Below are 11,950 nucleotides of genomic sequence, written 5' to 3' on the forward strand. Positions count from 1 at the left end.
ATCATAACCCATATTCCACTTTATAGATTTTTCTTCATCAGTAATTCAGGGTGTGAAAGTGATCGATATTAGAATTACTCAGACTGTTAATATCGTTTAAATTAAATGGTTAATTGCTTCATTTTCTATTTTACTTGGACCATGAAGATTGAACCAATTTTATGAAGCCCAAACTTTAGACAAGCAGGTAGTAAGTGAAGGAAGTCAGTCACCAGCCAACAGCACTTCCTGTTTTCATATGCGGATAAGCAGACTCTCGTTAGAAACCCCAACTGCCAGAGAAGACAAAATGCTTTACTTCTCTCAGACTGACGAGGAAACAGTGGCTAACATAGAAATTGTTATTGTCCAGAAATAAAAACAAGCTTTCTTTAAATGCTAAGGAAAAAAATAAAGATTTAGTATTTTCCTCTGGTTTCATTTGCAAACATCTGTATGCACTGTTTTTCTTCAGGATACACAGTTGAAATGTCATATTACTGGAATCTGGAGATCACTTTGATTAAATTTTGCCTTGCATAAAGCAGGCTAAAAGAAGTTAACCCTAACTGCCTCCACCAATAAGAAAGAATGTATCTGAATTCAGCACAAATGGAAACTTGTAATGTTCTACAGTCAGGTGAGAATGAGGAAATGCTCAGATCTAAAAGGAGCTGTTGCTGTAAGGAAACCATTTCCTTGATATCTGCATGTTCATCATCTTAAGTCTCAGGCCCCCAGACAGCTGTCTCTTCAACTTCAGGAAATTAGACGCCAAAAAGAAGACCTGAAAAACTGAAACATGCTAAGCCTGTACGTTGCACAGGGGCCAGGCAAAACTATATTTAGGATTAATTTTGAGAGCTCTGGGTGGTTTTTGTTTTCTGTGTTGTGTTGTTGTTTTTAATTTGCAGGGAAGCCTGGATGTTAGAGTGATTCGTGTACACATCTTAGGTAGAGAAGCTAATAAGTAGATGTAAAGAAGTAAAACCGAATTCATTAAAACCTAGAGCATTCATTGACTTGTTTATTGCTGAGTGCTGAGTAGCAATCCACACACGGTGCAGTATTTATTTTTTTCAAAACAGAAACCCCCATAACCTATATGATGTTAACAAAGGGAAATTGCAAAACAATAACAAAAAAAGCATTTTGGAAAATAAACTCATTTTCTTCGCATTCTTCTTTCCATTGCTTCTGAAAATGTTTGAAAATCAGTAGCATTATAAACTTTACAGTCTCATTTCCCAAATTGGCTTTCTTCTTTTTCTCCTCCCAATCCTTGGTTATATTTGTCACCTTCTGTTTCTATAGCACATGGCTGAAGACCTAGCATTGCATCTGCAACAAGTACTCTGACTTTCTTCATGAATATAAGTTTACAGGAATGCCTGTATAAAAAAAAAAACCCATAGTAAGAGATTACAAATATCACATCCCTCTTAAATCAGCTTCCTGACTTCCTTTATCCCTTCATGGGTCTGGTATGTCAGCAACACTTGACAATGTGAGGTTAAACTACTTGCTCTGCTTATGATCTCATTCCCTCCTGCTATCTCTTTCAGAACAAAGACCTTATACTATCAGTTGATGAATTTTCAGCCTCTTTGCCTCTACCTGTTATATCACTGCCATCTACACATCAGCTCAAGCCATTCCTGTCTTTAAAAAACACCATCTCTGACCTTAAACCTTCCTCCATTAACCATCATTCTCTTTTTCCTTCCCCTGAAAGCCATGTTCTTGCAAAGACTAATTTATAATCACTTGGTCACTGCATTTATTGTTCAGTCTACCATAATTAGAATTATGTCCCATCATTCTATGGAACGTGATTTGCTGAAGGTTATTAATGATTCAAATTTTTCCAATCTAATACACTCATTGCGGACATCATCTATCTGGAGCTGGTAGCACAGTTGAGAGAGAGCTTCTTTACTCCTAGAGCTGGCTCCTCCCTTGAATGGATAAACCATTCTCCTGGTCTTGTGCTATCTCTTGGACCGTTCGCTCTCAGTCTTCCCTACGGCCTCAATTCAGCTGACTCTGTCTACTGCTTAACATCCCACAGCCACCACTGCTGTCTAGCTCCACTCCTCGATCCCCAGTCCTGGAAACCAGTCTTTGAAATCTTCCCTTTACTCTGGCAATTTTCTCTTCACTCGTCTTGCTGCCTCTATTCTCTTTCACATCCACTTTATCTATCCCCTCACTGTCAGCGTGATCTCTCAAAATATGATGAAACTACTTTTATCTAAAACCTTTAAACTCCTTCCTGGAACTCCTTATCATGTTCCCTTAGCACAAATTTCCCCAGTAGCAACCCTGAATAAGGGTTTACACGCTGATAGTTTATTTGGGAGCACAACGAACACCAACAAGGGAATGGGGAACTGATACACAGACAGGAAGGCAGGGAAGACTAGAGCTTAATCCTGCTACAATATCCTGGGGAATTGCTACAAAACTCATGTCTCCGAGTTATCCTAATGAAGGGAGAAGGTTGTGGGATACATATACAACAAATCTAGTCAGTCTGCTTCTGGGTATGGGGGGACTCACTTCCGCAGCACTTTTGGGAATGGGACGGGGGGACTCACTTCCTTCAGCACTTCTGGCCTACCAAGAATGGCCAGAGAACCTTCTAGAGATCCAACAAAGCCCCAAGGCACAGCTTGAAGTTGGCCCTGGAGCACAGTGAACTGGGCAAGGTACAAAGATATGGTGAGACTCTGACAGAATCTCCAACACGTGGCTTACAAATTTTATTTATGTCACATTATCTTACCCTATCTCTTGTGGCACCCTGACTCGCCTTCTTGCACACACCGTAGGGAAAACCTTGGATCTTGCATGATGTATTGCTCTGCTCTAGTCTGTGCATCTCTAGAATGCCCTTCTCCTCCTTGCTCACTGGTCAACACCTGATAATTCAACAGCCATCTCAATTGTTACCTCTGTCACAATCCCTGTCCTGAAATTCCGGTGGGTACTAACCAATGCTTCCCTTGAATTCCCACGTGCTATGCTCATGATTTGATTCCCTCCTGCTGTATAAATATCGATACTACAGCCTTGAACACTTCCCTGCAAGTTATGTTGCTGTATGCTGCTAAATAAGCCTTTGGTGCTAAAGCAGTGAATTTAGGTCACAGAAGCTCCAAATATAAAAATAAGATGCTGTATTTCAGGTGAGCAATTACTCCCATAACTATTTGTAGTGAAGTTGCCTACTATACTGATTTACCTTGTTGAGCAAAGTAAACCCCTGAACATATGACTAAAATTCAAAGGTATAAAAGTCAAACAATAGAGTTGGACCTTATAAGAAGAGTTTCATCCCAAGAGTTAAAACATTTTATAGAATTTTCAATTATACTTTGCCCTTTGGAAACACCCACTTTTATGACATAATAAAAAAATGCAACAATAAAAAATGTTGACATAATTGGCCAATCCCCACCCCTACCCACACACCCACACTACATACAAGACAATGATGGTGTAGCCCGAAAGAATCTCATGACTGTGGGACAGCCCTACTTCACAAGGGCTGGTGATATTCCTTAGTTAGAGGATGACATGCATTCTGCATTTGACATATGCAAGATGGATCAGGGATATTTCAGTAAAATGTATGAAAAAGCAGGTTGTGTGAAAATTGAATGTTGCTATAGCAAACAGCACTTGGATTATATTAAGGAGGAGTCTCTGGAGGTTAGAAGCTTGTCAAATTATTACTGTCAGAACAAAGAGATCAGCATGGCCTCTTGAAGCCAAAGTCAAAAACATCAATTTGAGAAAAACTGGATAACAAGAGGGGTAAACACATTTTTTTTTATTGAATTACCTCGTTTGCATGTCGGGAGGGCATATTTTGAACTAATTTTATGGATTCTCAGGCCCTTCAAGGTACAATGGAAAGAACGTTAAACTTGCAGTAAAGGATTGTATTAGTCCCTTCTTGTGCTGCTATAAGAAATACCTGAGACTGGGTAATTTATAAAGGAAAGAGGTTTAATGGACTCACAGTTCCACATAGCGGGGGAGGCCTCACAATCATGGTAGAAGAGGAAGGAAAAACAAAGGGGCATCTTACATGGCAGCAGGCAAGAGACAGTGTGCAGGGGAATTCCCCCTTAGAAAACTATCAGATCTTGTGAGATGTATTCACTTTCATGAGGACGGCATGGAAAGACCCACCCCCCCATGATTCAATTACCTCCCACTGGGTCTCTCCATGACACGTGGGGATTATTAAAATTCAAGGTGAGGTTTAGGTGGGGACACAGAGTCAAACCATATCAATGACCGTGGCACCTACTTGCCTGCCAACTCCTTTCAATCAATAGCATAATCCCTTCCTTTTAGGAACTGGTCAAGGATCTAATTTTAAGTTGTCTTTTTTTCAATGCCCTGTCTCAAGCCCAACCAAAGCAAGTGATATTAAATAGGGAAAGTGTAAAACAATGGTATGCAACCTCACTGCACATTAGAATCACCTGGGGAACTCATAAAACCTATGGATGCCTGGACCCATCCAAGATTAATTAAAAGAGATAAAGCCCAGGAATTTTAAAATTCCCTCCAGGTGATTCCAATGTGACTTCAAGTTTATGAACCACTGACCCAGCGGCATAGGCATCGCCTGACAACTTGTTAGAAATGCAAATTCTTGGGCAAAAATGCAAATTTTTGTTTCAGACTCACTGAAACAAAAATCCTGTGGGTGATGTCCAGAAAGCTGTGTTTTAACGACTCTCCAGGTAATACTAATACTAAAATTTGAGGACCCATGTCCACCTATTTTCACTGATGCTTTATCTGCGTGTTTTTAATCTATATTCTAGCTCCCCAGAGAAATAGCTAACAACCTCACATAGATATTATGCCTAACCTTACACTTTTACTAAAGTTCACTACAGAAACCCAATGAAAAGAGTGGGCTATATGTGATTTAGAATTCAAAAGCCATAGATTCCAAAGCAGTTTGCCCATTTGCTAGAGAGGTTACGTTCAGCAAGTTCTTAAAAGTCTCCAAGTGTCAGTTTTCTCAGCTTTCAATGAGAGTAATAGTAGTACTTATAGCAATGAGCTGTTGGGAGGAAAAAATCAGAATACCGACGTAAAGCTCTAGTATAACGTCTCATATATAATAGCACTCAGGAAAGGCTGGCTCTATAAAGAAACTTTCTGAAAATTTGAAAATATATAAATAAATAGAGAAAAACCTGGAAAAGATTGTATCAATTAAAACAAATCATTCTCAGGATTTAAGACTAGAAAATATCCTGACCATATTAACTCCTATTAGTCTATGAAAGATGTACGATAGCTCATTGTTTCTTTCCCATCAGAGGTGGTTAACATGAAGGTCAGAACTGGGCACCAAGCTATAAATTGGTAGTAACTTTACTGAACTTAGTTATTATTTTTTCATATTACATGCACTCATTTATAATATAATTTAGCTCCTTATCTGTAATGTTTGTTTCAAAACAAATCTGTGTATTATTTTAAGAAACCACAAATCCTTTTGAAACAAAGGCAAAATGTGAAGAAATGATTAATCGTGTTGCCTTAGAAAAATCAAGAACCATGGAATACTGTGCAGCCATAAAATGAATGAGTTCATGTCTTTTGCAGGGACATGGATGAAATAGAAACCATCATCCTCAGCAAACAAACACAGGAACAGAAAACCAAACACTGCATGTTCTCACTTATAAGTGGGAGCTGAACAATGAGAACACATGGACACAGGGAGGGGAACATTGCACACCAGGGCCTGTTGTGGGGGAGGAGAGCAAGGGAAGGGATAGCATTAGGACAAATACCTAATGCATGTGGGGCTTGAAACGATGACAGGTTAATGGGTGCAGCAAACCCCCATGGCACATGTATACCTATGTAACAAACCTGCACATTCAGCGCATGTATCCCAGAACTTAATAAAATAAAATAAGAAAATCAAGAACCACTATGTCCGTATCTCATAAAAATCTTTGAGTCTGTTTCATAATATTCCTTCTTGGGGTAAATTTTGTTGCTAGAAAATTTACTTTCAATGGTCCCTCTTTAACAAAAAACAGTAATGCTCACTCTTTTAAAAAAATAAAGTAAAAAAAAAATTATTTCTGCCAACCCACCAGATTTCACAATGGTAATGTGGGCCAACCACAAATCAGTTATTGTGTGCTCCTTCAATGTTCCCCTCTGTGTATATTTGAACTGAGATTACTAAAATAGATAAATGTGCATTTTTTATTTTATAAATAGTTTGTACAGCTCTGTATATAGTATTCTTTGTCTATATGTGTGTTTGTATTTAAGGATATGTTTATGTTTTTCTCTCTCTAAATGATAGAATTGTGGATTTAATTTTCTACTTTCTAATTGCTGTATTTTCAATTGTTTTCTGAAACAGTATATGTTGCTTTTTAAATCAAGGGAAAATACAGATAATTTAATGCTTTTTAGAATTTCCCATTAAAATAATTTCCATTCAGGAACAAACTAGAGAACAGTCTGAGAATGTGTGATGGTTGTTGTCATCCCAGTACTCCTATTCAGATGACAGGCCTGATTCATTCTCCTGCAAAGAACTTCTGTGTATCATTGTCTGGCATGCGCTTAAGGAGTCGTGATTCTCTGCCCATGTTTTCACAAAAGTAATTCTCCACTCATACTTTCTGAAAACTCTCTACCTTACTATATGCAAGTTGGGTGGATATTGTGTGGCACATGGAAAACTCTATTGTTTTGCAAAGAATATGGGAGAAGATCATTTAGGAACAAAAATGCTATTAATTATTCTGTCAGATATACAGGTGAGATTTATGTGAGTTTAATGTTGTCTTTTTCTCAGCTGTGCTATCCCTGACCTAGAATTCTAGAAATAATAGATTGCTAGATAAAAGGCTGATCATGCATCTCCACATCTACTTTTTGCCAAGCCTTTAAAACTAGGCCAAATATCTTACTCTTTCAAAAAGTTGTCACATTATAAGTGAAAGCTCTAAAGAAAGGCTTTTGTTTTACAGCCTAGATGACTGAGTGTATCTAACATGTCTGTACATAAACGTAGTTGTATGGGTACCATTGAACCAATGTTCAAATTAGATAGACACTTCAAAGACATTAATATGTTATTGTAACCTAGAATTAAGAAAGGAAGTTCAGACTAAAAGTTTATACAGAAATATTCAGTAGAAAACTGAAAACATTTTTAGTTATTTAAATTTGCCTTAAAAATAAACCTACAAAATGTGGATCAAGTAGGGGGATAAATATATGACAAGAATAATATATTACATATGTCATACTTTAGTGTCTCTGAATATTTAGAATTAATAATTGTGGCTATAAAATGGTTATAAAAACTGTTTTAGCTAATTAAATTTATAATTTTAGACAATAGTAGGGTTACATTTTTAGCTTAACTAATCTGTAGATTCCTCTTCCTGTTAACAAAAGCAAAAGAAAGAAAGGAAATGAGGAAGAAAGGAGGGAACAGGGAGAGAGGAAGGAAAGGAAGGAAGTGCTGTGGTCTGAATGGTAGTGTTCCCCCAGAATGTGTGTTAGGACCTAATACCCAATGTGATAGTATTAAGAAATGCAGCCTTTAGGAGGTGATTAGGTCACCTCTTAAATTAGGTTAGTGCTTATAAAATGAGGCCTGAGGGACCCTGTTTGGCTGTTTTACCAAGTTAGGACACAGAGAAGGTGCCATCTATGAGAAACAGGCCCACATCAGACACCAACTCTGCTGGCACCTTGATCTTGGACCTCCCAGTCTCCAGAACCATGAGCAATAATTTCTGTTGTTTATAAATTACCCAGTCTAAGGCGTTTTGTTATAGTAGCCTGAATGGAGAAAGCAAAAGAGGAAAGGAGAGAGAGACAGAGAGAGAAAGAGAGGAGAGAAGAAGGAAGGAAGGAAAGAAGAAAGGAAGAAAGGAAGGTAGGAAGGAGGGAAGGAAGGAAGGCAGGGAGGGAGGGAGGGAAGGGAAGGGGAAAAAAACAAACAAGCGAGAGGGAGGGAGGCAGGGAGGAAGAAAGGAAGGAGAGAAGGAAGGAGGGTAGGGGAGAGGAATCTATTTCTTTTCTTTGTTTTTTGAGACAGAGTCTCAGTCACTCTGTCACCCAGGCTGGAGTGCAGTGACATGATCTCCACTCACTGCAAACTCTGCCTCCTGGGTTCAAGCAATTCTTATGCCTCAGCCTCCCGAGTAGCTAGGATTATAGCTGCATGTCACCACACCCAGCTAATTTTTGTATTTTTAGTAGAGACGAGGTTTTACCATGTTAGCCAGGCTCGTCTTGAATTCCTGACCACAGGTGATCTGCCCTCCTAGGCCTCCCAAAGTGCTGAGATTCCAGGCATGAGCCACCGTGCCCGGCTGGGAGGAATCAATCTCTTAAATGTAGCAAGGGCCTTTTGAAATCTAAATAAAACACAAAAGGGCAAAACATTGACTAGCCGAACACTGGTCTTCTGACCCATCTGGGGTCTCAGCCTGGGCTACACTGAGCTACTTCTTGTGGTGCCTTGAAGTCAGTTAATTTCACTTCCTGTTTTCTGGGCCACTTCACCTCTCCACTATATCCAATTAATCAATACTTTCTAGTAATACCACATCGAATAATAAAACTCACATCAGAAGCCACCATCACTCCCACCTCATTTTTAATGGCCCATGCCTTATTGACCAGCTCTGTAATTACTTACCAGGCTCACTGCATGCCATTTACTTTAGCACCAACAAACTCATTCCCTTGCTGACCGGTGTGGATATGCCACTCCCCTACCTAAGTCAGTGCTTTTTCTTCATCTAAAGTACCATATGTTAATCTGGAGTTTGAGTCTTGAAATACCTTCTAAAATCTATATACATTTGGGTTTTTCTGCATCAGTGCTTATTTTTCTTGGTTGACAATGCACTGCGTCCTTCATATTCTAAAACAGGCCTGGAATTCATTCAAGATGAATATCTTCAGAACAAAGCCAAAGACTTTAGCATAGACTGCAAGAATTATTTTTGAGATAAAGTTTCAATCTTGTTGCCCAGGCTGGAGTGCAGTGGCACGATCTCGGGCTGCCCGGGTTCAAGCAATTCTCCTACCTCAGCCCCCAGAGTAGCTGGGACTGCAGGTGTGCGCCACCACGCCCGGCTAATTTTTGTATTTTTAGTAGAGACGGGGTTTCACCATGTTGGCCAGAATGGTCTCAAACTCCTGACCTTGTGATCTGCCCACCTTGGCCTCCAAACGTGCTGGGATTACAGGCATGAGCCACTGCGTACAGTCAACTGCAAGACTTTCTATGATCTAACCCCAAAAGACCTCTGCCATTCCAGGGTCACCATCTGCCCCAAACACTTAATGCCCAGCCATATCATACTCCTTTTAAGGTCCTCTAACTGCACCAACTTTCTAACTTTTCCATGTTTTTGCACATGTTGCTTCTCCTTGTATTTTGGACTCTTCACCATCATTTATTGTCCAACTTCAACTCCCTTTTCAAAATCAAATTAGAAGTCACTTTTTCTGTGAAAGTTTCTCAGCCTCCACTATGCTAATATGCAGTTGATAGCTTTATCTTAGTTTGCTGTGGTACCTGGGCATATCTCTATCATGACAATTTTCAAATAATATTGTAGGTGTGTATGCAGCTGGCCCACTTTGAAGAGTGGGCTACCAGAAAAAAGAAGTTGTATTTTATTCTTGTTGGTAATCTCAGAGTCCAGCAGTATCTAACACTTAGTAAGTGCTCAGTCAAACTTTGATGAGGCAAAGAGCATAAAGTCAGCTGAGCAAGAAGACAGAGACTTTTGATGGAAACAGAAAACTTCAGGGCCATATTTCACTCATGAAAACCATCCCCAGGGCAATAACTAATTAATAGCAGGCATTTGGTAGAGGCGTGTTGCTGAGAGTGAACCCCTTTAAAAATCGAAATGATAGAAAGTTTTTAGTTACATTATGCACTGACAAATTACTTGAGCAAAAGCTGAGAACTAACTGTCTGCTTATAGCAAAAGGAACTTGAAATAAGGAAGTGACATCCCAGGGTGCAATCACATGTTACTTAAGAAATTCAGCAGAATTTTAGCAGTAGAAAAATTTAGCAATTGAAACCAACCCTGAATAGAATTCTTTTCTTAGTTCCAATTGGCTATGTATAACCATTTACTCACAAGGCAAAATTGGAAATTAATATTAGAAATACCTATCATTCCATTTATAGTAAATAATTATGCTGGATTTTACTATATATTGAGTTGCAGATACAGTTGTTCCCAATCCATAATTATGCTTCGTTTTTTTGTTTTTTGAGACGGGGTCTCGCTCTGTCACCATGCTGAGAGTGCAGTGGTGTGATCTCGGCTCACTGCAACCTCCGCCTCCTGGGTTCAAGCGATTCTTGTGCCTCAGCCTCCTGAGTAGCTGGGATTACAGGCATGCACCACCACACTCAGCTAATTTTTGTATTTTTAGTAGAGATAGGGTTTCACCATGTTGGCCAGGATGGTCTCGATTTCCTGACCTTGTGATCTGCCCACCTCAGCCTCCCAATGTGCTGAGATTACAGGTGTGACATAATTATTCTTAATTAACCATTTTGTTGTTTGTGGTCTTATAAAATCTTTAGTTAAAAGAAAACCTGACTGTCACAATCAAGGTTCCAGGCCCCGGAATGAGGGACGCCAGATGAGAAACGAGACTTAGTGATGATTTCTATAACAACATTTATCCCAACCACACATTACATTTGTAATCTCTTAGACCTTGTAAAGGGGATTTTATTAAAACTACAAAAAGTAAACGTATATGGATCTAAATAATTAAGACAGAGAAGATAAAGTTAGCATCTGAGGCTGCAGGTAGGATGGATTTCAGCTGAGCTGGAACTAGAGCAGAAGCAACCTGTGAGAAGGGTTATAGACAGACGTGCGAAAGAAGGTGTTTAAGAAGTGTTGCAACTTTCATTTTCACATTCTCAATGTTCTCACTCTGGTTTTTGTGTGACCCCAGACTGATATGTCTTCCAAAGCAGTACCCAATGGCTGGAATTCGTGTACATTATCATTTATTATTTTAAATGTTTTCAGAGTTATTGTGATCTCTTCTGCCACACCAAATTTATGCAGAGTCCTTGGCAAAGAATGTAGTGGACTTGCCCACATTCCACTCCATTCCCTGTCCTCTGACCTTCAGCACAGACCACAGAACAATGGTTGAGAACGCAGACTATGGGAGCCAGACTGTCTGGTTTCCGGTGTCCGTGACCATGAGCAGACTGTGTGCTTTGCATTCTTCCATCTGTCTAATGGGGACAATAATAGTTCCTCCCAGGCTTGTTATAAAAATGAATAGTTACTGTCAACTCTAAGCAAAGCTCTTAGATCAGTTCCTGGAGCATCACAAGGCCCTGTATGTGCTTGCAAAATAAATAAATAGCTCCACTTTGGGCAGGTAAAGTGAAGTGTTGAGTAAATTGTTTCTTCATAGTGAATAAAGAAACGGTTATGGAATGCCCAGCATAAGCCTTAAACACATCCACTCTTCCCCCTGGGTGAAGCCAACAATGATACTAGGGGGATAGTTATCATTCCTGCCTGCAACCCAGAACTGAGGAAAGAGGACCAGGAAGAATATCAGGGCTCCTATAACCTTACCCTTTATTTTTGCAAATAAAGGAACTGAAAGAGTTTAAAGAATTTGCTGAAAGCCACACCACATATTTAGTGTGAGTCACAAACCCATTTCTTGTGACTATCAGCTTAGCTCTCTCCATTATACTCATGTCATTAGAGTGGTTATGACAGGAAAGCAGAAGAAAGGCCAGGAGTCCAGGGGTTCCTTGATGAAACACCATGGAGATGTAACAGGCAAAGAAAGAAGATGGGGCCCCAAAATATAACTTTCTCTACCAGTTCTGCCAGAACTTCTCAGACTGGCTTAAGCA

General features: G+C 39.5%; 1 long non-coding RNA gene across 1 annotated transcript, besides 4 other annotated features; it reads right to left on the reverse strand.

Annotated features, from left to right (window-relative positions):
• Positions 1-974: 974 nt before the first annotated feature.
• On the reverse strand, positions 975-2,889 carry LOC105372738 (uncharacterized). Its single transcript, XR_937589.2, has 2 exons — positions 2,768-2,889; positions 975-1,370 (listed from the first exon to the last, which is right to left on the reverse strand). It is a non-coding gene; the product is annotated as an uncharacterized LOC105372738 (long non-coding RNA).
• Positions 1,884-2,280: a transcriptional cis regulatory region, noted in NCBI's record as "candidate enhancer chr21.70 targeted for multiplex CRISPR interference". NCBI's record gives its function as "positively regulates SAMSN1 gene expression in K562 cells {active_cell/tissue: K562}" and the evidence as "EXISTENCE:mutant phenotype evidence [ECO:0000015][PMID:30612741]".
• Positions 8,704-8,813: a silencer, noted in NCBI's record as "silent region_13215". NCBI's record gives its function as "represses an Ori minimal core promoter by ATAC-STARR-seq in GM12878 lymphoblastoid cells {active_cell/tissue: GM12878}" and the evidence as "EXISTENCE:reporter gene assay evidence [ECO:0000049][PMID:35858748]".
• Positions 11,022-11,071: an enhancer, noted in NCBI's record as "active region_18277". NCBI's record gives its function as "activates an Ori minimal core promoter by ATAC-STARR-seq in GM12878 lymphoblastoid cells {active_cell/tissue: GM12878}" and the evidence as "EXISTENCE:reporter gene assay evidence [ECO:0000049][PMID:35858748]".
• Positions 11,092-11,191: an enhancer, noted in NCBI's record as "active region_18278". NCBI's record gives its function as "activates an Ori minimal core promoter by ATAC-STARR-seq in GM12878 lymphoblastoid cells {active_cell/tissue: GM12878}" and the evidence as "EXISTENCE:reporter gene assay evidence [ECO:0000049][PMID:35858748]".

Source organism: Homo sapiens, chromosome 21 (genome assembly GCF_000001405.40).
Source record: "Homo sapiens chromosome 21, GRCh38.p14 Primary Assembly".
Lineage (NCBI taxonomy): Eukaryota > Metazoa > Chordata > Mammalia > Primates > Hominidae > Homo > Homo sapiens.